The following is a 26,869-nucleotide window of genomic DNA, read 5'->3' on the forward strand; positions in this document are numbered from 1 at the left end:
CAAATCTGCTTTTTAACATAACAGACTATGAATATATTTCCATGTCAATAAATTTTCCTCTAAAATTTTCTCTCAAACAGAGTCCCTCAGAGCTTTCAGAATCTGAAGGAGGTGACTGCAGGTCCCCAGGAGGGGTGAGGAGGATGGCAAGTGGGTGAAGGTCCAGACCTCAACTCAAGAGCAGCTCCCCTTTGATCTCCTTGACATATTTGGAATCCCTCACAAATTTGCATTTGGGAAAAGAGCTCTCCTGCTTAAAAAAAATATGAAAGCCTCTATCAATAATTTATTCTTAACAGCTTTTGTAATGATTTAATTTATTTAATCAGTCCTCCTTCTGGTGGCCATATAGATATTTTCCCAAATGGATGATGTTACAAACTGATGTTATCAACAAACTGGGCAACTAAGTTTGTGTGTGTGTTCTGTCATTTTGTAAAACAGAATTCTGAAAAGAAGTGTTGTAAATGAGTTCATATTTTAAGAATTGTTATTTATTTGGCCACATCATCTAGTTATTTATGAATATTTTTTAAAATTGAATTATCAACCAGGCGTGGTTCACGCCTATAATCCCAGCACTTTGGGAGGCTGAGGCAGGTGGATCATTTGAGGCCAGGAGTTCGAGACCAGCCTGGGCAACATGGCAAAATGCTGTCTCTACTAAAAATACAAAAATTATCTGGGCATGGTGGCATGCACCTGCAATCCCAGCTACTTGGGAGGCTGAGACAGGAAAATCACTTGAACCCAGAAGGCAGAGGCTGCAGTGAGCCGAGATCATGCCACTGCACTCCAGCCTGGGTAGCGGAGCAAGACTATCTCAAAAGAAATAAAATAAATACATAAAAATAAATAAATAAAAATTTGAATTATCATCAATTCCCTACCACCCCAACAAATCAACATTCATTCTCCATATTCATTACAGTTTGGGTCAATATTCAATCACAATTTTAAAATAATTACATCAATACAACTTCTTGCTTTTTAGTCTACTGGTGAAAAGTTGTTATTTAATGATAAAATATATCTAGGTTTTTATATATCAAGTTTACTTAAAGTGTACCTGCAAAACTAGAAGCTAAATGCATTAGAAAGAGGGTCTTGTTGTTGTAGAAAAATAGAATAAATTAATCTATTGTGAATGTGAACAAGAATAGTAAAAGTCTTTTTGAGAGCCTTAGACTTTAAACACCCTAAATCAGTTTCAATTATCACTGTCAACTGGCAGAAATGTAACGGTACAAGACTTCTGCTATCACTAGGGAAGAAAGAGATGAGGTTTGCCCTACAGATTATGAGAAATATGAAGGGTCACTCTAAGCTAATGTAGGACCAATTCTGAACTAATAATAAAATAAAATAATTTTATGTAGTAATTAGCTCACAAAAATGACTCCTGCAGGGAACAACACTCTACAAATGAATTAAAAAGGAAATGAGGAAAACATTTACAAGCAAAGGCTCTTTTTTTCTGGCCAGATATGGAGCTTGATGAAATAATCCAACCTGAGACTGCTGAGCAAGAATCTCCTGAGCTGGGTGAGGTGATAGAATACACAGCCTAGAAACCCAAGTCAGGGACAGATGATGGGTGAGCTGGTGACCAGCCAAGATGTCAGAGGTCAGCAGGGTGATTCCTATGCAACAGCAAAGAACTAAGCAGGAACCAAGCAGCACAAACGTAGGCAGGACTGAGGCGGTAGCAAGGGACCTGACCGAGGGCAGAGTCAGGCAGAAGGGCAATGGCAGAACCACGGACAGCTCCCGGCAGCTGCTTTTCTGTCTTCATTTCTACCCTACTTCCCTGGGCAGCTGAAAACAAATCTCTGATCTTAAGATCAGAACTCAATGCCTTAAAGTTACATTACCTGGTTAATTTATTTGCAAGTGTTCCAAAGTATTTTTGGAAGGAGATGGGACATAAAACTCAGACATCTATAAATGATTCCTAAATGAATAGATGTATAAACAAATAACCCAAGTAAACATCCAAATAAAATCTTCAGGAAGACATGTTCTTGGGGTTCAGTGGGAGAATCTTTGCCCTTAGATGGTGGGACTGGGTCAACCTCAGAGCATGCTGGAGCCAGTAATGTGACTTAGGCAAGAAAAGAAAGAAAAAAAAACAGCCCCAATGCAAAAAGCAAGCACTAATTTAGAGGGACACAAAACAAACGCATTTGGTATTTAGTTTTTGCTTGTGTTTTAAGCATATACTAAAATATAAGTGAGAAGAAACTAGGAATAAAAATAATGAAAGAATCAGCAGTGAGTGGGGTCAAGTGTTAGAAGCCAGAAATGAGAGGGGGTGAGAAAACATTAAGAAGTCTCGGGATGTGTGTGCACACACATGTGCATACACACACACACAACACACACACATGACTGAGGAATGCAGCTTTGAAAAATATATACAGGAAATTATTTTTACCACTGAGCCTAGCTTCACCTCAGACTTTAGTATCACCTCTAATTAAACAATCTCCAAGTCTCAACTTTCCCTCCCTGGTCATATAAGATATGAGTCCCAGTGCTGCAGTTAACCCCAGCACGACTCATGCTAGACCTGTCAGAGTCAACTTGATGTCCTCCATTTCTGAACCCCATGCAGAGTTCTAGCAAAGTAGGTAGCATGGTCACTCTTGTGTTGATCTTTTGATTTCCTTACCTGGGCTGTAAGTTCCTTTAGGGCAGGAATCTAACTCCTTGTTGGGTATCAAGTTCCTATCAGAGGTCCTGGCTCACAGCAGGTATGATATCCTATCAGATAACGAGTCCCACCTATTCTGCCTCCATAACACCCTCCCCCTGGCCTTCCATCCTCCACCTCTGTGATCACCTTGCTTCAGACCTCACTGATGGAAAGAGAGGAGACAAGAGAGGTCAAGGGTTGGGAGTTAGGAATAACAGCAGTTATCAATTCCATTCTCCCACAGGGCACAAATGTTGTGTTCGGGTCTTGATTTTCAACTCTTTATGCACACGACACTTAGCCAAATGTAATTCTTTGTCATTCCTCAAAATGCCACTAAAACCTTTCTGCCCATTTCTCTATTCATGTCACTTCCTTTTTGTGTGCCCGTTTCTCTATTCATGTCACTTCCTTCTTGTGGAACACCAGGAATTTCTGCTGGTCATCTCCCCCTCTGACAGCATACAGGGCACCACAACTGCCCTTCAAGTACAGGCTGCACTGCATCAAGAAATTTGCATTGTTGGATTTTTCTAAAACTCTTATCACCATGATCTAAAGCAGGGGCAATAATCTGAGAGAAGATGACTTAACATAAATTCTGACAGGACTTGGAAATAGATACAAATTGGTTTTATCTTATGGAATATTTCATTAGCATTAAACTACAAGGCTCCCATCTCAAATATGTTTTCTAGTTAAATGAGATCAACACTGAAATAAGGAAATGGATAATATCAATATTTAATTCTCCAAATGGCATTCAGTTTTTTATTTTGTTGTGGGTGTGTACAAGGAAGTGAACTGTTCCTAAACTGGAATGTTTAGGAAAGCCACTGAGCTGCTCTCCTGTACAGTAGAAGCTTACCACATATGGCCATTTTAATTTTAATTAATTCATTAAAATTAAATCAAATTAAAATTAATTTCTCTGCCACATTTCAAGTGCTCAATAGCCATATATGGCTAGTGGCTACCATACTGGATGGTGCAGCCACAGGACATCTACATTACCACACAAAGTTCTACTGGACTGTGCCACTCAGAGGATCACACACAGCAGCATCACCGAGATGGCTCGTAAAAACACAGTTTCTCACTCAGTAGATCTGAAGTGGAGCCTAAGTACTTGTGTTTCTACTAAGAGCCCAGCTGCCGATGATGCTGCTGGTACAACGACCACACTTTGTGAATCACTAGCCTTGGCTGATAACACCAGGTGAGCTTTTCATGGTGTATGCGCACAGCACTCAGCCTCAGCCCATGATCAGATGCAGAAAATATCCACATGCTGGTAATCTTTGGCCTTGGAAGGTATAAGATAGTTTTCTAACCAGCTGCTTTCTTAATTATGATATAATGAGGTTGGAATATCCTAAACACATGCCAAGGTTTCAGCGAGGCTTATAGTCTCTGGAACTGTGTGCAAAAATGTATGTCTGTGCACATAAGCACTTTTCTAAGAACAGTGTGGTGGCTGGGGCCTTGACTCTCAGGCAGGTTGTTTAGACCCTCAGTGATTCAGAGTAAAACAATAGGACCCATATCATCCATATCATTGGGCTGTGTTGAGGCTAAACAAGAAATGCACCATGCACAGAACCTAACACAGAGTAAGAGTGCCATCAGTGTTAGCTGTTGTTATTTTCACTCATTCTCCATAATCCAAAAAATATTAAGATGGTCTGATTTAAGTTACTATCAAAATGTGCCTTCTGTGAATAACAGCAGCTATATTTTGGGAGGTGTCTCAGAGGCAAAATTAAAATTTGGTACAAGAAATATACAGAAGTATCTCAAACATGATAGCCAAAAGCCATCTATATAAGTACATTAGCAGATGAAATTGAAAACAGTTTCTTCAACTGCATTTACATCTGACAAGAGGCAAAAGAGGTATATATTCCTTATGCCTTATACTGGACCTTATGCTTGATAATTATTTATTTTTGAATACCTAGCCTCTATCACACTATAGGCACTTGGCAGGTGCTCAAAAATATTTGGTAGATGGATGGGTGGGTGGGTGGATGAATGGATGTATGGACAAACAGACCAGATGGAGAGGTAGATAGGTGGATGGGTGGATAGGTGGATGGTTAAATGGACCTCACAGGTTCTGGGTTATGGAAGATTAGAGCCAGTAGGGACTTTGTGAAAATCTGATCCAACTCCTTATTTAACACATAAAACCAAATAATATACTCAAGATCACAAAGTAATTAATTAGTGATAGGGATTCCACATCCCAAACATCATTCCTCTGCTCTGAGTCTTAGATGCATTTACACACACACACACACACACACACACACACACAACAAAACAAAACAAAAGAAAACAAAACAAAACACAGCTTTGAGGCAAGTCTGCAACTCTAAGTCTTCATTCTCCTTGGAAGTTAAGGGCTAGCTAGGTAAACTTAAAGACAGCCACAATATTTTAGAAAGAATCACAGTCCCTCTTTTCCCCCAATATCTTTTGAAAGTTAATATCCCTTGATAGGAAAAGCTCCAGTCTACAGCTCCCAGAGTGAGCGATGCAGATGATGAATGATTTCTGCATTTCCAACTGAGCTACCGGGTTCATCTCACTGGGGACTGTCAGACAGTGGGTGCAGGACAGTGGGTGCAGCATACCAAGTGTGAGCCAAAGCAGGGTGAGGCATCGCCTCACCCGGGAAGCACAAGGGGTCAGGGAATTCCCTTTCCTAGCCAAGGAAAAGGGTGACAGACGGCACCTGGAAAATCAGGTCACTCCCACCCTAATACTGAGCTTTTCTGACAGTCTTAGCAAACGGCACACCAGGAGATTATATCCCACGCCTGGCTCAGAGGGTCCTACACCCATGGAGCCTTGCTCATTGCTTGCACAGCAGTCTGAGATCAAACTGCAAGGCAGCGGTGAGGCTGGGGGAGGGGCACCCACCATTGCCGAAGCTTGAGTAGGTAAACAAAGCGGCCAGGAAGCTTGAACTGGGTGGAGCCCACCACAGCTGAAGGAGGCCTGCCTGCCTCTGTGGACTCCACCTCTGGGGGCAGGGCATAGCCAAACAAAAGGCAGCAGAAACCTCTGCAGACTTAAATGTCTCTGTCTGACAGCTTTGAAGACAGTAGTGGTTTTCCTAGCATGCAGCTTGAGATCTGAGAACGGACAGACTGCCTCCTCAAGTGGGTCCCTGAACCCCAAGTAGCCTAACTGGGAGGCATCCCCCAGTAGGGGCAGACTGACACCTCACACGGCTGGGTACTCCTCTGAGACAAAACTTCCAGAGGAAGATCAGGCAGCAACATTGGCTGTTCACCAATAATCACTGTTCGGCAGCCTCCACTGTGGATACCCAGGCAAACAGGGTCTGGAGTAGACCTCTGGCAAACTCCAACAGACCTGCAGCTGAGGGTCCTGACTGTTAGAAGGAAAACTAACAAACAGAAAGGACATCCACACCAAAACCCCATCTGTACGTCACCATCATCAAAGACCAAAGGTAGATAAAACCACAAAGATGGGGAAAAAACAGAGCAGAAAAACTGAAAATTCTAAAAGTCAGAATGCCTCTCCTCCTCCAAAGGAACGCAGCTCCTCACCAGCAATGGAACAAAGCTGGACGGAGAATGACTTTGACGAGCTGAGAGAAGAAGGCTTCAGACAATCAAACTTCTCCGAACTAAAGGAGGAAGTTCGAACCCACGGCAAAGAAGATAAAAACTTTGAAAAAAGATTAGACGAATGGCTAACTAGAATAACCAATGCAGAGAAGTCCTTAAAGGACCTGATGGAGCTGAAAACCATGGCACGAGAACTACGTGATGAATGCACAAGCTTTATCAGCTGATTCGATCAACTGGAAGAAAGGTTATCAGTGATGGAAGATGAAATGAATGAAATGAAGCGAGAAGAGAAGTTTAGAGAAAAAAGAATAAACAGAAACAAACAAAGCCTCCAAGAAATATGGGACTATGTGAAAAGATCAAATCTATGTCTGAGTGGTGTACCTGAAAGTGACGGGGAGAATGCAACCAAGTTGGAAAACACTCTGCAGGATATTATCCAGGAGAACTTCCCCAACCAAGTAAGGCAGGCCAACATTCAAATTCAGGAAATACAGAGAAGGCCACAAAGAAACTCCTCGAGAAGAGCAACTCCAAGACACATAATCGTCAGATTCACCAAAGTTGAAATGAAGGAAAAAATGTTAAGGGTAGCCAGAGAGAAAGATTGGATTACCCACAAAAGGGAAGCCCATCAGACTAACAGGTGATCTCTCGGCAGAAACTCTACAAGCCAGAAAAGAGTGGGGGCCAATATTCAACATTCTTAAAGAAAAGAATTTTCAACCCAGAATTTCATATCCAGCCAAACTAAGCTTCATAAGTGAAGGAGAAATAAAATACTTTACAGACAAGCAAATGCTGAGAGATTTTGTCACCACAAGGCCTGCCCTACAAGAGCTCCTGAAGGAAGCACTAAACATGGAAAGGAACAACCAGTACCAGCCACTGCAAAAACATGCCAAATTGTAAAGACCATCAAGGCTAGGAAGAAACTGCATCAACTAATGAGCAAAATAACCAGCTAACATCATAATGACAGGATCAAATTCACAAATAACAATATTAACCTTAAATGTAAATGGACTAAACGCTCCAATTAAAAGACACAGACTTGGCAAATTGGATAAAGAGTCAAGACCCATCAGTGTGCTGTATTCAGGAAACCCATCTCTCGTGCAGAGACACATATAGGCTCAAAATAAAGGGATGGAGGAAGATCCACCAAGCAAATGGAAAACAAAAAAAGGCAGGGTTGCAATCCTAGTCTCTGATAAAACAGACTTGAAACCAACAAAGATCAAAAGAGACAAAGAAGGCCATTACATAATAGCAAAGGTATCAATTCAACAGAAGAGCTGACTATCATAAATATATATGCACCCAATACAGGAGCACCCAGAGTCATAAAGCAAGTCCTTAGAGACCTAGAAAGACACTTAGACTCCCACACAATAATAATGGGAGACTTTAACACACCACTGTCAACATTAGACAGATGAATGAGACAGAAAGTTAACAAGGATATCCAGGAATTGAACTCAGCTCTGCGCCAAGTGGACCTAATAGACATCTACAGAACTCTCCACCCCAAATCAACAATATATACATTCTTCTCAGCACCACACCACACTTATTCCAAAACTGACCACATAGTTGGAAGTAAAGCACTCCTCAGCAAATGTCAAAGAACAGAAATTATAACAAAGTGTATCTCAGACCACAGTGCAATCAAACTAGAACTCAGGATTAAGAAACTCACTCAAAACCGCTCAACTACATGGAAACTCAACAACCTGCTCCTGAATGACTACTGGGTACATAACGAAATGAAGGCAGAAATAAAGATGTTCTTTGAAACCAACGAGAACAAAGACACAACGTACCGGAATCTCTGGGACACATTTAAAGCAGTGTGTAGAGGGAAATTTATAGCACTAAATGCCCACAAGAGAAAGCAGGAAAGATCTAAAATTGACACCCTAACATCACAATTAAAAGAACTAGAGAAGCAAGAGCAACCACATTCAAAAGCTAGCAGAAGGCAAGAAATAACTAAGATCAGAGCAGAACTGAAGGAGATAGAGATACAAAAAACCCTTCAAAAAATCAATGAATCCAGGAGCTGGTTTTTTGAAAAGATCAACAGAATTGATAGACTGCTAGCAAGATTAATAAAAAAGAAAAGAGAGAAGAATCAAATAGACACAATAATAATTGATAAAGGGGATATCACCACCGATCCCACAGAAATACAAACTACCATCAGAGAATACTATAAACACCTCTACACAAATAAACTTGAAAATCTAGAAGAAATGGATAAATTCCTCGACACATACACCATCCCAAGACTAAACCAAGAAGAAATTGAATCACTGAATAGACCAATAACAGGCTCTGAAATTGAGACAATAATTAATAGCTTACCAACCAAAAAAAAGTCCAGGACCAGATGGATTCACAGCTGAATTCTACCAGAGGTACAAGGAGGAGCTATTACCATTCCTTCTGAAACTATTCCAATCAACAGAAAAAGAGGGAATCCTCCCTAACTCATTTTATGAGGCCAGCATCATCCTGATACCAAAGCCTGGCAGAGACACAACAAAAAAAAGAGAATTTTAGAGCAATATCCTTGATGAACATCAATGCAAAAATCCTCAATAAAATACTGACAAACCGAATCCAGCAGCATATCAAAAAGCTTATCCACCATGATCAAGTGGGCTTCATCCCTGGGATGCAAGGCTGGTTCAACATACACAAATCAATAAACGTAATCCAGCATGTAAACAGAACCAACGACAAAAACCACATGATTATCTCAATAGATGCAGAAAAGGCCTTTGACAAAATTCAACAGCCCTTCATGCTAAAAACTCTCAATAAATTAGGTATTGATGGGACGTATCTCAAAATAATCAGAGCTATTAATGACAAACCCACAGCCAATATCATACTGAATGTGCAAAAACTGGATGTGTTCCCTTTGAAAACTGGCACAAGACAAGGATGCCCTCTCTCACCACTCCTATTCAACATAGTGTTGGAAGTTCTGGCCAGGGCAATCAGGCAGGAGAAGGAAATAAAGGGTATTCAATTAGGAAAAGGGGAAGTTAAATTGTCCCTGTTTGCAGATGACATGATTGTATATCTAGAAAACCCCATCATCTCAGCCCAAAATCTCCTTAAGCTGATAAGCAACTTCAGCAAAGTCTCAGGATACAAAATCAATGTGCAAAAATCACAAGCATTCTTATACACCAATAACAGACAAACAGAGAGCCAAATCATGACTGAACTCCCATTCACAATTGCTTCAAAGAGAATAGAATACCTAGGAATCCAACTTACAAAGGATGCGAAGGACCTCTTCAAGGAGAACTACAAGCCACTGCTCAACGAAATAAAAGAGGATACAAACAAATGGAAGAACATTTCATGCTCATGGGTAGGAATAATCAATATCGTGAAAATGGCCATACTGCCCAAAGTAATTTATAGATTCAATGCCATCCCCATCGAGCTACCAATGACTTTCTTCACAGAATTGGAAAAAACTACTTTAAAGTTCATGTGGAACCAAAAAAGAGCCCGCATCGCCAAGTCAATCCTAAGCCAAAAGAACAAAGCTGGAGGCGTCACGCTACCTGACTTCAAACTATACTACAAGGCTACAGTAACCAAAACAGCATGGTACTGGTACCAAAACAGAGATATAGACCAATGGAACAGAACAGAGCCCTCAGAAATAATGCCACATATCTACAACTATCTGATCTTTGACAAATCTGACAAAAAGAAGAAATGGGGAAAGGATTCCCTATTTAATAAATGGTGCTGGGAAAACTGGCTAGCCATATGTAGAAAGTTGAAACTGGATCCCTTCCTTAGACCTTATACAAAAATTAATTCAAGGTGGATTAAAGACTTAAAGGTTAGACCTAAAACCATAAAAACCCTAGAAGAAAACCTAGGCAATACCATTCAGGACATAGGCATGGGCAAGGACTTCATGTCTAAAACACCAAAAGCAATGGCAACAAAAGCCAAAATTGACAAATGGGATCTAATTAAACTAAAGAGCTTCTGCACAGCAAAAGAAACTACCACCAGAGTGAACAGGCAACCCACAGAATGGGAGAAAATTTTTGCAATCTACTCATCTGACAAAGGGCTAACATCCAGAATCTACAAAGAACTGAAATAAATTTACAAGAAAAAAACAAACAACCCCATCAACAAGTGGGGAAAGGATATGAACAGACACTTCTCAAAAGAAGACATTTATGCAGCCAAAAGACACATGAAAAAATGCTCATCATCACTGGCCATCAGAGAAATGCAAATCAAAACCACAATGAGATATCATCTCACACCAGTTAGAATGGCGATCATTAAAAAGTCAGGAAACAACAGGTGCTAGAGAGGATGTGGAGAAATAGGAACACTTTTACACTGTTGGTGGGACTGCAAACTAGCTCAACCATTGTGGAAGTCAGTGTGGCAATTCCTCAGGGATCTAGAACTAGAAATACCATTTGACCCAGCCATCCCATTACTGGGTATATACCCAGAGGATTATAAATCATGCTGCTATAAAGACACATGCACACGTATGTTTATTGTGGCACTATTCACAATAGCAAAGACTTGGAACCAACCCAAATGTCCATCAATGATAGACTGGATTAAGAAAATGTAGCACATATACACCATGGAATACTATGCAGCCATAAAAAATGATGAGTTCATGTCCTTTGTAGGGACATGGATGAAGCTGGAAGCCATCATTCTCAGCAAACTATTGCAAGGACAAAAAACCAAACACCACATGTTCTCACTCATAGGTGGGAATTGAACAATGAGAACACATGGACACAGGAAGGGGAACATCACACACTGGGGCCTGTTGTGGGGTGGGGGTAGTGGGGAGGGATAGCATTAGGAGATATACCTAATGTAAATGACAAGTTAATGGGTGCAGCACACCAATATGGCACATGTATACACATGTAACAAACCTGCATGTTGTGCATATGTACCCTAAAACTTAAAGTATAATAAAAAAGGAAAGAAAGAAAGAAAGAAAGAAAGAAAGAAAGAAAGAAAGAAAGAAAGAAAGAAAGAAAGAAAGAAAGAAAGTTAATATCCCTCTATGCCAAGAATCTCTCTGCACCAGGAGTGCCCAGAAAAGCACAACTGGTGTTTTCTAAATTAACTTCTGATCAATACCAGTTTGCACATTAATACAAATTCAGATCCTATGAAATGTACTGAGGAAAGCATTTTATAAAATAAAGAAAACAGCAATACATACCGTGGTTTAAAGGCAAATATAGCATGGCAGGACTGTTGCTTGCCCACGTATCCATTCTTCCTTCTTCTTCAACAACAAAACCCTGACTTCTAGCTGACCTCAATGCTGCGCAGACAAATGACTATATTTTCTAGTTTCTTTATGACTGTGTGGTCATGTAACTAAAATCTGAGCAATAAGATATAAGTAAAAGTGTCATGTGGGATTTCTAGAAAGTTTCCTTAAAGGAAAAGGCTATACTTAGTGCTTCCTCCATCATTTCAACTGGAGTGAGGATGTAATGGCTGGAGCTCCAGCAGTAATATTGAACCATAAGAAGAAGGATTATATGCCAGGGGAGGAGGTAGGGAGAGCTGGATGGAACTTGGGTTCTTGATGACTCTGGAGTCTCCTTACAAGATTTGTACTACCTCCCTCCAGAGTTCTTTTATGTAAGAGAAGGAAGAAAATTTTTCTTTTTTATTCCTCCTCCTCTTCCTCTTCCTCCTCCTCCTCCTCCTTCTTCCTCTTCCTCCTCCTCCTCCTCTTTCTTCTTCTTCTTCTTCACAGGTTCTTGCTCTGCCAACCAGGCTGGAGTGTGGTGGTACAGTCACAGCTCACTGCAATCTCAAGCTCCTGAGCTCAAGTAATCCTCCTACCTCAGCCTCCAGAGTAGCTGGGACTATAGGTGCATACCACCACACCAGGCTCTTTTTAAAACAATTTTTTTGTAGAGATGGGGTCTTATTATATTACCCAAGCTGGTCTTGAACTCCTGGCATCAAGCGATCCTCCCACCTCAAACTCCCAAAATGCTGCAATTACAGGTATGAGCCACTGTGTCTGGCAGGAAAAAAAAAATGCTTCTATTTTTAAACTACTGTTACTTTTTTTCACATGCAACTCAACCTAATCTGAAATACATCCAACATATTCTAGTATTCTCGGCTACTTATTGAGTGATATCCACATTAGAAACATTATTGGGATTTCAAAGCTTTTGTAAAGAAGTGGTTAGTGGATGTGCGATAGACCAATAATCTGTGTCTTTTGAAGGTTAAAGTTCCCACCTAAACGTCTACTGTTCTTATTTAGCACTGCCAAATTGGTAAGCAATTTTCTAATTCTGGGATCTCTATTCTTTGGCTAGATTCCCTACATCCTTCCCTCTTGCCTCCTCCTCCTTTCCTCCAGGATCATGGCAGTTCTCCTGCGACAGTTCTCATGACCACCACACTGTCCTATCCCTCCTCTCTTACTCTAGAAATCTACAATGCTTAGCAAAACTGGGCTGCAAAATCATACTTGGTCACTTCCTTTGGGCTGAAAAATCTCAGTTTGAGGCAGCATGTTCACAAAGTTAGATGTCCTCTTCATCTATTCATTTGAAATTCTGGAATATACTTAAGCAGCCAGATACTGACATTATTTTGACCAGCCAAAGGACTTTAATGAAAGCATAGATTATTTTTCTTGAAGAAGCAGAGCAAAATGTAATCAGGACCTCAAGTAGAACAAGAAAACAAAAACATCCTTAGTCTCATAATGCTCTCATAGTAACGTTCACTTTTAACAATTTTAAGTTGAATGTGTCAAGTCTTTAACCTGAAAAAAAAAGCTGTAAGTTATAATTGGGGCAGATCCAGATTTTGTGGGGCCTCAAGCTTCACTTGAGGGACCTGCTTTTTTTTTAAAAAAAAATACAAAATTATAACATCTAATACAGAATTAAGTGAAGATCTTGGAAGGGGCCTATGGCCCATGCAAGTGACAGGCCCTAAAGCTTGAGTTTCACTAAATTTATGGTAAGTCCCCTCTGCTTATCATCAACACATATATACAAGGCCCAGCCCAAGAGAAAAGGAAGGATTAAGTGAAAGCAAACTATAAACAGATGTATGGCTAAAGGCCATGAAATAAGAAAGAAAAACCTGCAAGAAAAAATTCAAGCAGTACAAGTTTTGAACTTCCTGTTAAATTTATGTAGTGATTAGAATGAGAGGGGAAAAACTTTCTACACAGAAAGACCAGTACCTATTACTTATATATATCACTCATACGATAACCAAACAAATATACCAGATATCAGATATAGATTAGATAAAAAAACTTCATCTTAGTAAACATGCTTAGACAATTTACTTGCAGAAATAATCGTTCATCAGCTCTCACTGGATATTGTTGAAAAGTTCCTAACATTTGTTTTGGATGCACCATTCCACAGAACATGATGTTTATCTGTTTATCTTGTATCTACTGATAATGACACAACTAATAGCTAACTTTAAGCATTTGCTCTGTGTTCAGCTGTATTAGGCCATTTTTGCATTGCTATAAAGAAATACTGGAGGCTAGGTAATTTATAAAGAAAAGAGGTTTATTTTGGCTCACAGTTCTGCAGGCTGTACAAGCATGCCACTGGCATCTGCTTCTGTGAGGGCTGCAGGAAACTTACAATTATGGTGGAAGGTAAAATGGGAACAGGCATGTCAAATGGCAAGAGAGGGAGCAAGAGAGGGCAAGGGGGTAGATCTCAGACTATTTTAAACAACCAGATCTTGTGTGAACTCAGTAAGAACTCACTCACTATTTCAAGGACAGCACCAAGCCATTCATGAGGCATCCACCCCCATGATCCAAACGCCTCACACCAGGTCCTACCTGCAACACTGAGGATGACATTTCAACATTAGATTTGGAAGGGACAAACATCCAAATCATGTAACCAGCTAGTCAGCAGGCTAAACACTACATGGAATGCCTCAATCAATCTTCAAACAAGCAAATGAAATAGGCACTTTTGTTATCCTCATGTTACAGATGGGAAAACTGAGGCCCAAAAAGGTCATACAGTTTGTGAGAGTTGAAGCCAAGACCAATAGCAAACAGTGTCCATACAAACCTGAGATTCAGAGACATTAAACAATCCACCAAGATCACACATATCTATTAAGTGGTGGAATCAGGATTCTAACTGGGTCTGACTTCAAAACAGGGGTTCTTGCAGCATGTTCTTAACACCCCTATAATATTGAAGGATCCAAGCACAAAATACAACATTGGTGAGGGTTCATAACTTAACAGTTCCTTTGATAAAAATGATAGAAGAAAAGCAAATGTGGAGTAGCTATTAATCTGAGTCTCTGTTGAACTTCCAGCATGTGCATGGCCTGCTTGCTGCCATTCCTGGGGGTAAGCGGCAGAAATCCAGCCTGGCTGCAAACAAGACACACACATTTCAGCAGTTGTAGCTCACTACATCATCAGAACTAGTGCCTCCTCTCCCACCTCCTTGTTCCATGGACTTTTTTTTAGAGTAATGACATTGCCATTCCTATTAACTTCATAGGTTCTGTATGACCAAATGGCATAATTTGGGGCTGGGACATTTTCTTTGCCATTTCACATTTTATAAAACTCCATACAAATTAATATAATCACATAATAGGAGAGCCATCATTTTCAACTGTAGAACCTGGAATAACTGCCACAAAGCCCCTCCCTGTTCTGCTACACAGGGGTTCCTCCCTCTAACTCATCCCCTTCCACACCAAAAATGGATTATGCTATTCTCTTTCATTCTTAGATTCAGGATTAGGTCTAATTGTAAGAGGCCAGGTCTACAGCCCACATCATATCACATGTTAAATTGTCAAAAAGAAAAAATTATTTGAGACCCAATATACCAAGAAACAAACGTATGACATCCCAACCCCACCCCAAGCCTCTCCATTCCTTAGGAAGGGACAGTAATTTGGGAAGCGGTTGCTGTTTAAGATACAGTAATTGTTAAAAATCAGAAAAGTAACAAAGATATAAAGAAGAAAAACATTGTCCAAAATCCCAGTCCCAAGAGGAAATGTCTATCAACTTTTGGTTATATTTCTTACAGTATTCTATCTACTTTAGAAAATATTAATAGTTGGGATCAAATAGTACATATAATTCTGAAATCTGTTTCTGGTGAGTTCTTTGCTGTTGTTGTTGTTTTCCCTTTAAAAGGGCGTCATTTTTTAATACTCATGAACAGCTCTCTTATATTTCAGGAAAAGATCATTTCAACATTTTGACTTCAGCATTCCACTGATGACTGCAAACAGCCTAAGCTCCTCTTAGGCATAATTCAGTAGGCTGTCCCGAGACTTTTTGATCCCATAGTAGTAAAAATGCACCCACACAATTTAACCTACATAGAGCTATGATAAAAAATGAGAGCTGATCTTTCTTCCTGAAAAAATATTGTGGTCATTGTATTTTTATGCTAATATGAATTTAGGAAGAAGTTTTTTTGTTTGTTTGTTTGTTTTGTTTTGTTTTTCATGTTTCATAACATCCACTGATTCACACTTGGCAATTTTTGAATTGCGGAAGCAGAAAGATTGCAAATTCAAAGGGAAGGAAGGGATGGAGGACTGGAGGAATGAGTAATCTAAATATTCATATGATGTTAAAAGCCTCATTTGTTTGACAAGAAGGAGGTAGAAGAAGAGCATATAAAGGAAAAGAACAAGGAAGAGGAGTGTTCTAGAGGACTCCTGATTGAGATTTCTCCTCTCTGACCGCCCTAAATTCTTTCTTTTTCCTCAGTCCCACAACAGAGAAAAGAGTAGGATGGCTGTCTAATAGTTAAAGTAAAAAGACACTTTTATTTCTTTGTTGATATGAATCGACATGCTGGGGATTTTGGCAAACGATGATCCTTTGAAAATCATCCAAAAATATATACTTCTAACTGAATCGAAGAGATCAATACATATAATGGATTTTTTTGAGTGCATATGTTGGCTCAGAACACAGAGAGTAGAGATAATCATTAAAGTTTTATGGGTTGTCAACCAGGGACTGTGTCATCTTACTTGACTTCAGTGGTGGCTCGTTTTAAAATTTTTAGACTGAGGTTTCCAGGATCCTCTATCCTCTTACTCATCCTCCTTCCTTAAAGGAATTGCTGATGCCTGGGAGGTTTCAGCCATGAGGCAATGCAGTTTTACTGGAGCTGGTTGTGGGGGGAGGGGTGGGGGTTCCAATGGCATTTTTTTCAATGGAAACAAAGGGTAGAATGCAGCTTCCCCAGTGTGCGTACACCATTTATGGGGCTAAGCAGACAGTCAGTTGCTAACCTGTCGCCATGAACACCTTCCCAAAATAAAATGTATGCACTACATTTTGAGGAGTGGGTGGTTTCAGGCAGACATTTTTCAGGCGCCAAAGAGAGCTCTGAATTTAGTTACATAGAATGAGAATTGTTACCTCACAGCCTAAATAACGGCTTCCTTCAGGCATATAATAATATTTGAACTTCCTGTAAAGCCAAATCTCTTACAAGATGTTATATTAGCAAGTTTAAGTTACTCTAGGTTTTTTAAATTACTAAGGATCCTCATACCACTGTTTTCCATAAATGTCTTAAAAGAGACAAATGAGTTCTAATTGTCTTGTCTTACATTACATGAGGAGAGGAAGAACAGCACCATCTTGATTCTTTTTTTTTTTTTTTTTTGAGGTGGAGTCTTGCTCTGTTGCCCAGGCTGGAGTGCAGTGGCATGATCTTGACTCACTACAACCTCTACCTCCTGGGTTCAAGTGATTCTCCTGCCTCAGCCTCCCGAGTAGCTTGGACTATATGCGTGCGCCACTATGCCTGGCTAATTATTTTCTATTTTTCTTTTTTTTTTTGTATTTTTAGTAGAGATGGGGTTTTGCCACATTGGCCAGGCTGGTCTCGAACTCCTGACCTCAGATGATCCACCGAACTTGGCCTCCCAAAGTGCTGGGATTACAGGCGTGAGCCACCGCGTCCAGCCATCTTGGTTCTTTTGAAGTGCAGTTGCCAAATTTGGTTACTTTACTTTGAAGGACTGTAAGTGGATGTTTATCTAATAAGTTCATGCAGAAGACAGCTTTCTAGTATCTTCAATTAAGAGCATACACGTTCTTTGTCTTTTTATTTTCTTTTTTGAGATAGGGTCTCGCTCTGTCGCCCAGGCTGGAGTACAGTGGCGTAATCTTGGCTCACTGCAACCCCCACCTCCCTCGCACAAGCAACCCTCCCATCTCAGCCTTCTGAGTAGCTGGGACTATAGGCACAGGCACATGCCACCACACCTGGCTAATTAAGAGCATACATTTTCAATTTTTTGTTTCCAAAAAATTCAGTGTGATGAATAAGGTTATATTAATGGTGAGCTTCTTGATCTGTGTGCTGAAAATTTTCACCCACACATACATTTGAACTTAAAACAGTTCACAGGGAAGGATCAACAAAAGCGAGTCCATAGTCCATGTAAAAAATCTATATAATCTACATTTTTTTCTAAAAAAGTCAATTTTCAGTTATCTATGGGGTGATTTCCAAACCCACATTTAAATGCAATTATAAATGCACAGTTCATAGCTAAATATAAAGTATTTATTCAGTGTTATCTGCAATTTAGATTAATAGGATTCCTGGGGAAATAATAAATCGCTGATAGTGCAAAAACAGATTTCATTGTTTGTGGAGAATGAGACATATGTCCATTTTCTTTCTAGACAAAAACCCAGTTCAAATTTTGTTTATACCAAGCCCTATAGGAATTTTTAAATACTTTAGGAATGAGTATTTCCTTTAAAAATAAATCATTCAACAGAGCTTTATTATTATTATTTTATTTCAATAGTTTTTGGGGGTCCAGGTGGTTTTTGGTTACACGGATAAGTTCTTTAGTGGTGATTTCTGAAGTTTTGGTGTACCCAGTATGTGGTCTTGTCTCCCTCACCCTCCTCCCACCCATTCCCCCGTCCACAAGTCCCCAAAGTCCATTATAACATTTTTATGCTTTTGCATCCTCATAGCTTAGCCCACTTACAAGTGAGAACATGAGATAGTTAGTTTTCCATTCCTGAGTTACTTCACTTAGAATAATGGCCTCCAGCTCCATCCAAGTTGTTGCAAAGGCTATTATTTCATTCCGTTTTATGGCTGAGTAGTATTCCATGGTGTATACATACCACCTTTTCTTTATCCACTAGTTGGTCGATGGGCATTTAGGATGGTTCCATATTTTTGCAATCGTGAATTGCGCTGCCATAAATGTGTGTGCATGTGTCTTTTTCATATAATAACTTCTTTTCCTCTGGGTAGATACCCAGTAGTGGGATTGCTGGATTGAATGGTATTTCTACTTCTAGTTCTTTAAGGAATCTCCATTCTGTTTTCCATAGTGGTTGAACTAATGTACATTTCCACTAGCAGTGTAAAGTGTTCCCATTTTACCACATTCACGCCAACATCTATTATTTTTCAATTTTTAAATTATGGCCATTCTTGCAGGAGTAAGGTGGTATCTCATTGTGGTTTTGGTTTGCATTTCCCTGATAATTAGTGTTGTTGAGTATTTTTTCATATATTTGTTGGCCGTTTGTATATCTTCTTTTGAGAATTGTCTATTCATGTCCTTTACCACCCACTGTTTGATGGGATTTTTTTTTCCTTGCTGATTTGAGTTCCTTGTAGATTCTGGATGTTAGTCCTTTGTTGGATGCATAGTTCATGAATATTTTCTCCCACTCTGTGGGTTGTCTGTTTACTTTGCTGATTATTTCTTTTGCTGTGCAGAAGGGTTTTAGTTTAATTAGGTCCCAATTATTTATTTTTGTTTCTGTTGCATCTGCTTGGGGGTTCTTAGTCATGAATTCTTTGCCTAAGCCAATGTCTAGAAGAGTTTTTCCTATATTATCCTCTAGAATTTTTATGGTTTCAGGTCTGAGATTTAAGTCTTTGATCTGTCTTGAGTTGATTTTTGTATAAGGTGAGAGATGAGGATCCAGTTTCATTCTTCCACATGTGGCTTGCCAGTTTACCCAGCCCCATTTATTGAATAGAGCGTCCTTTCCCTACTTTATGCTTTTGTTTGCTTTATTGAAGATCAGTTGGCTGTAAGTATTTGGCTTTATTTCTAGGTTTTCAAATGGAGATTTTAAGTGTTTTCTGCTAAAGCACAAAATTTTCTTGCAATGAGATTTGATTTTTCTCCTTTAAAAAGTGGGCAAAGAACATGAGCACAGCAAAAGAAATAATCAGCAGAGTAAACAGACAGCCCACAGAGTGGGAGAAAATATTCTCAAACTATGCATCTGACAAAGGACTGAAATCCAGAATCTACAAGGAACTCAAACAAATCATCAAGAAAAAAAAAACAAATAATCCCATCAAAAAGTGGCCTAAGGACACGAATAGACAATTCTCAAAAGAAGATATACAAATGGCCAACAAACATATGCAAAAGTGCTCAACAGCACTAATTATCAGAGAAATGCAAATCAAAACCACAATAAGATACCACCTTACCCCTGCAAGAATGGCAATAATTTAAAAATTAAAAAGTAATAGATGTTGGCATGGATGTGGTGAAAAGGGAACACTTTTACAGTACTGGTGAAAATGTAAACTAGTACAACCACTATGGAAAACAATATGGAGATTCCTTAAAAAACTAGAAGTACAACTACCATTTGATTCACCAATCCCACTACTGGGTATCTACCCAAAGGAATAGAAGTTATTATATGAAAAAGACAGATGCACACATACATTTATAGCAGCACAATTCGCAACTGTAAAATTATGGAACCATCCTAAATGCCCATCGACCAACGAGTGGATAAAGAAAATGTGGTATCTATACACCATGGAATACTATTCAACCATAAAAAGGAACAAAATAATGGCATTCACAGCAACCTGGATGGAGTTGGAGCCTTTTGTTTTGTTTTTGAGATGGAGTCTTGCTCTGTTGCCCAGGCTGGAGTGCAGTGGCATGATCTCGGCTCACTACAACCTCTGCCTTCCGGGTTCAAGCGATTCTCCTCCCTCAGCCTCCCAAATAGCTGGGATTACAGGTGCCCACCACTATGCCCAGCTAATTTTTGTATTTTTAGTAGAGACAGGGTTTCACCATGTTGGCCAGGCTGGTCTTGAACTCCTGAGCTCAGGTGATCCGCTTGCCTCGGCCTCCCAAAGTGCTGGGATTACAGGCGTGAGCCACCATTATTCTAAATGAAGTAACTCAGGAATGGAAAACCAAACATCAGATGTTCTCACTTATAAGTGGGACTAAGCTATGAGGATGCAAAGGCATAAGAATAATACAATGAACTTTGGGGACTCAGGAGAAAGGGTAGGAGGGTATAAGGGATAAAAGACTATATTGGGTACAGTGCACACTGCTCAGGAGATGGGTGCACCAAAATCTCAGAAGTCACCACAAAAGAACTTATCCATGTAACCAAAAATCACCCACTCCCCAAAAACTATTGACATAAAAAAATTTTTTTTAAGTTAAAAATAATTGGTTGTAAAAATACAACTAAGGCAGAAACGTATAAAGCAAAAAGTAAAGGTCCCTCATGCCCACCCACATTTTACATTTTGGTAGCTTTTTTTTTTTTTTTCCTTTTCGTTCTTTCTTTTTTTTTTTTTTTTTTGAGACAGCCTCACTGTCATCCAGGCCAGAGTGCAGTGGCGCCATCTTGGCTCACTACAACCTCCACCTCTCAGGCTCAACCATTCCTCCCACCTTAGCCTCCCGAGGATCTAAGACTACAGGCGCACATCACCACACCCAACTAATTTTTGTATTTTTTGTAGAGACGGGGCTTTACCATGTTGCCCAGGCTGGTCTCAAACTCCTGGGCTCAAGTGATCCTCCCACCTCAGCCTCCCAAAGTGCCAGGATTACAGGTGTGAGCCACCATGCCTGTCTGCTTGCCTGATATTTTTAATGACCTATGTCTACTCTCTCAAGAGATCTTAGCTTGGAATTGTCCACCTTCCACAATGTTTCCAGAATTATCTATCTAATTTTGAACCTAGTTATTTCAGTCCCCTGCTGGCTCCCTGCAACTGCATATGAATCTGAATGCCTTTACAGCCACTCCAGCTCTTCAAAACCTAAGCCCAACCCCCCTTTCTTGCCTCATGTCCTTGCTCCCTCTACAAATTACCCTCTGTGCCAGCCATGCTGAGTTTTTTACCTTTCTCAGAATTTCTCATTCTTTCTCTTGCCTCTATGCCCTTGCATTTACCATTTCCCCTTCCTTCTTCTACCTTTGGTAAATTCCTATTCAACTTCCAAGAACCATCTGAAATATCACTTCCTCTATGCCCCCTCCTTAACTCCCCAAGCCAAATAAGCTACCTCTCTTCTGCTTCCCTTGTGGTGGCACCAAGTACTTTATTATATAATCTTCAAACAAATGTTTGTCTCCTCCTAGAGACCATGATGTCTTTTTGGGCAAGGACCTTCAGCATGCATTCCCTGTCCTTGGTTGAGTTCCTGACTGACAGGAGGCCTTCAAAAAGTGTTTACAGAATACCTAAATAATTCTCAGTATTATCCAGTAAAAGCAAACAACAACAAAAAAATTCAATCTCTCTTCTTTACCTATGGCATAGAGTATGAACTAGATAGTAGTTAATATATAACAAGCATTAATTAACAATGTATGGTTCACCTGCATGAGGAAATCATACCATGAACCTCTGCAGACAGACATGTCTATATCCTCAGCCAAAATGGCAAAGAAGGCAAATGATCCCCAAGTGTCTCTCCTTTCCTCTGCATTTCTCTCCCACCTCCTGTGCCTTCCCAGCCACAGCATTCATTGTCAGATGCCCTCTGGCCACAGCTGTTATTGTAGAATGCACACACCAAGCCATACACCAACATTTCTCCCTTTCCACCTCAGCCAGCTTCCATTCTTTTAGCCAAGCATCATGAACAACTATGTGAGAAACCAATAAGATTACATGATTTCCTAGGTGTGGTGGTTCATGCCTATAATCCCAGCACTTTAAGAGGCCAAGGCCCAAGGATTGCATAAGGCCAGGAGTTTGAGACCAGCCTGGGCAATACAGTGAGACCCTCATCTCTACCAAAAAAAATTAAAAATAAATAAATCAAAAATTAGCCAGGTGTGATGGTATGTACCTATAGTCCCAGCTACTCAGGAGGCTGAGGCAGGAAGATCCCTTGAGCCTAGGAGTTTGAGGTTGCAGTGAGCTGTGATCACGCCACTGCACTCCAGCCTAAGTGAAAGAGTGAGGCTGTGTCTTAAAAACAAACAAACAAAAAACATTACATGACTTGTACTCTGTCAAGAATAAACTCAGTCTCCCAGAGAGGAATATCTTTTTCAAAGATTAGCTCAATAGCTCAAATGAATCTAACTGGTAGAATACGCTAAAGAGATATTTTCATTGGAAGGCCTTTCAGAAGTCCCTTGGACTTTCTAGGCCACAAGATACCACCAGCTCCAACATGTTGAAGAGGTGGGGGTCAGCAGCAGGACCTCCCCCCATTTCTGAAAGGTTGCCGACACCTGGCCCTTCTGCAGGGATTTCCCAGTGCACCTTCCTTAGGGAATGAGTGTTCCTAAAATTGCAATCACTCAGTATTCACTGCCAGCCTAGTGGGGGAAAAACAAACAAAAGAAAAACAAAAAACAAACAAAAAAACACCATTATAATACAAATAGAATTAGGGCAAAAAGAACAAGGGAAAAAGGGCCAAGAGAAAGGTGGCAGATAAGAAGAATGACAATCCTGGGGGAACCACATAGAAGCTGCCACACCCAAATAGATGGCACTTGGCACTCACACAAGAAGCCTACTGAAAGAATCAGAAATGCACCCATTCCAACATTTTTTCTATTTAAAATGTTTTCCACCTAAAGCTGAGTGTCCTATAGTACATTAGCTTTTAAAAAAAATCACAAAAGATTGCGTGGGTCAGAAAAGCCCAGAGCGCTTTTCTTCGTGAAATTACAAAAGCCTGACAAATGGCTGCAAATGTCCCTGCTCTTCCCTCGCTTCTCATGAGATTCGTTGCTATCCCCAATTTGATCTTATTTCCAGGGCAGCCTTTCCTCTTATAGCCATACATGCTGAGATCAAAGGAGGGAGATGCTGTTACATACAGGACTAACGTTACAGGGAAAAGAATTGGAAAGAGCTCAGACTTCATTATATACAAGAATAATTTCAAGGAATAAAAACCATTTCCAGAGGAAGCTGAAACCAAAAATAGTAGCAACTCTAAACTTCATTTTAGGAGCCTGAAGAATGTTATACCCCTCCATGAGGTTGCCTAGGGAACAGGACTCATTTATCCTTTGCTGTCCAATAATTTCTTGGAAATTGCTACCCCATATTAAATCTATGATTGTTAAATTCACTCTAAATGGAAAAGGCCCTCAAGAAAGTGCTGTTTAAGTTATAGTAAAGAAATCTTTGTCAGGAAAACGTTATAGAAATCTAAAGTTCCTTTAATATGTCTGGCTGTCCCAACAAACCTTCTTCTACTTGGATATAAGATTTTTTAAATCCATAATCTCTTATTCTACATCTTGATTTCTCAATGTAGAGTTTTCTTATAAATAAACCAATTTGTTTAGATTACAAACACTTATCTTAGCATGTCAAAAACTATAAATAGGAATATTCTATTCTGAACTAAACCATGCAAAACTATTCCAGCTTACCCCCAAACATTCAAGAAAAAATATCCTTGATAACGGAATGTGTAAGAAGCAAAAAGAAGGGTGTTTGGCATTCTTCACATGATAAATTTTCCTCAAATTTTGCCTGTTATAAGCCCAACCATGAGAGAGAAAAGTTTGTGTTATTGTCAGGGAGAGGCATATTGAAAGTGCCACCGATGATGATATTAGTGTGTTTGTTTTTTAGCATTGTTTGTAACAACACTATTGACCAAATTCCTATCCTTCCTATGCTCTGTAATTCTTTCAGGCCAAGGTAATTATTTCACAGGCATGCTGAGTCTTTCATTTCTGGTTCCCGTGTGTGAATTGTGAAAAGGGCATTCTGAATGCTACCTCTCCTGCAGGTGAAATATTCCTTCTGTTTATGTTCCTTGCTAATGCCTCAGGCTTCTCTACACATGATCACTTTTTACACGAAAGCTAGAAGAGGCTAAACTTTATCTCTGCACTTTCCTCTTTGGAACAGCTTGCATTAAAATCTAGATTAGGGGATGAGACTGAAAGCGATGGCTATAGTGGTGATAATCGGTAATTTGGTAAGTTTAATTTTTCTGTGAAATTTTAGAGCCTGGCTGTACTAGGCCTGAGACCAGAGACTTTTGTCCTCAAATATGTATTCTTTAGTAGAACATGTCTGAAATAATAGCCATTAGCTGAAGAGAAAACTCACAATTAACCAGAATTTCACCCATAATAGAAAAACTCTTACTTATCACAAAGCACTGCCTTGGACACTGCTTAAAAATATGCTAAAATAATTTTTTCTCCAGATCAATTATAAGGGAGTTGCATTATAAGAGAACAGATTCATATAGGAAATCTTACTTTAAAAATAAAAACAGGCTGTTCATGGTGGCTCATGCCTGAAACACTAACACTTTGGGAGGCCGAAGTGGGAAGATCACTTGAGCCCAGGAGTTCATGACCAGCCTGGAGAACACAGTGAGACGTCATCTCTACAAAAAATAGAAAAATGAGCCAGTCATGGTGGCATGCACCTGTAGTACCAGCTACTTGGGAGGCTGAGGTGGGAGGATCGCTTCAGCCCAGGAGGTGAAGGCTGCAGTGAGCTGTAATTGTGCCTTTGCACTCAGCCTGGGAAACAGTGATGTTCCACAAAGAGTATGGTGGTCTGTAACAAGGTTATGACCATAGCATACTCAGCCAGCTGAACAAGTTTCACTACTATCATTTCATTTTAGAAAGATGCTCACTAACAGCATGAAAACTAGTTCATCTCAATGCATCCAGTATTTATTTACTGTGCATTTCACATGGGCTAGGCATTATGCTGTGAGCTGCTATGGAAAAAGGCAAATATGACAAAATTGCTATCTCAAAAATTTCAAAGTGTTTGGTATAAATAGATACATGGTGTATTATACAGACAGATAAATAGTGTATCAAAGAGATACCCTAAGTACCCAGGTAATTATGATGCAAGGAACTAGCTAACTTCGATAAAAGACACAAAAACAAAGCTTTATGGGAATTCAAATGAGTAAGCAATTACATCCATTGGAAGAATCCCAGTAGAGTAAAATGGTACGAACTCTCTTGAGGGTAATTTAGCAAAGCATATAAAAAGCCTTAAGACTGTACCGTTTATGGTAGTAAAAAACTGGAGATAATCTATATATCCAACAATTGGGAAGTGGTTAAATAATGTACAATACATTTACTCATTAGAATACAAGTAGGCATTACAAATTACATTGTAGATAAGTATTTCATAAGATTTTATGGAAAAACTATAAAATATTAGTGCATATGGTAAGAAAAATGTTCAAACTCTTCAAAAGGACAATGAAGTGTCTTTCTCCCACCCCAGAATCCCTAGTAACTTTACCCAAATTGCCTTGACCCAAAGACACCCCTTAACCCCAAAACCCAAAGTACTTGTGTTGGTCCATTCTCATGTTGCTCTAAAGAAATACCTGAAACTGCACTGTGTATAAAGAAAAGAGGTTTAATTGGCTCCCAGTTTCACAGGCTATCCAGGAAGCATGATGCTGGCATCTGCTTGGCTTCTGGTAAGGCCTCAGGAAACTTACAATCGTGGCAGAAGGCAAAGGAGAAGCAGGCATGTCACATGGCCAGAGCAGGCGCAAGAGACAGGAAGTAGGTGCTGCACAGTTTTAAGTGACCAGATCTCATGAGAACTCACTATTGCGAGGACAGTACCAAGAGTGATGGTGCTAAATATTACATGAGAAACCCGCCCACATGAGCCAATTACCTTCTACCAGGCCCTACCTCCAACATTTGGGATTACAATTTGACATGCAATTTGGGTGGACACACATATCCAAACTATATCAGCACTTTTACCCAAAACCATTTCTCAAAGACCTGTGCCTCAGAGTACATAAACAGGCATGTGCTGTATGAACCCACTGTTTGGCCCTTTGCTTTGGGCCCTTAACGAATTATCTTGGATATTTTTCCATATCAGCAAAATATAGATATATACCACGTATTTCAATAGTCACCAGGTATTCAATCGCATGGGTTTTATTATACTTCACGTATTCAGTTCCCTATTAAAGAGCAAATATGTTGTTTCCAGAATTTTGCTATTACAAACAATGTTGCAATATATGTAGATGAAATGTTTAATACTATGTAAAAATGTTCAAGATATTTTAAGTTAAAAAAACTCAGACTATAAAATAGTATATATGGCCATCCCACCTTAATTTTGTTAAAATATATATACCACTGAGAGAAAAGTGTGGAAGCAGAGATTTCTTTTTTTTTTTTCTTTTTTTTTGA

The 26,869-nt window shown here is 39.6% G+C and overlaps 1 protein-coding gene across 3 annotated transcripts in view, besides 2 other annotated features; it reads right to left on the bottom strand.

The window, feature by feature from the left end:
- Positions 1-26,869, bottom strand: part of METTL24 (methyltransferase like 24) — a 114,410-nt gene that overhangs the window by 9,865 nt on the left and 77,676 nt on the right. The window lies entirely within an intron of this gene.
- Positions 1,629-1,829: a silencer, noted in NCBI's record as "peak6023 fragment used in MPRA reporter construct". NCBI's record gives its function as "represses an SCP1 promoter by STARR-seq MPRAs in K562 erythroleukemia cells {active_cell/tissue: K562}" and the evidence as "EXISTENCE:reporter gene assay evidence [ECO:0000049][PMID:32103011]".
- Positions 16,226-16,727: an enhancer, noted in NCBI's record as "H3K27ac hESC enhancer chr6:110591233-110591734 (GRCh37/hg19 assembly coordinates)". NCBI's record gives its function as "activates a minimal SCP1, AML or CMV promoter by ChIP-STARR-seq in primed H9 embryonic stem cells {active_cell/tissue: H9 hESC(primed)}" and the evidence as "EXISTENCE:reporter gene assay evidence [ECO:0000049][PMID:30033119]".

The sequence above is a fragment of the Homo sapiens genome, chromosome 6, assembly GCF_000001405.40.
Source record: "Homo sapiens chromosome 6, GRCh38.p14 Primary Assembly".
Taxonomy (NCBI): domain Eukaryota; kingdom Metazoa; phylum Chordata; class Mammalia; order Primates; family Hominidae; genus Homo; species Homo sapiens.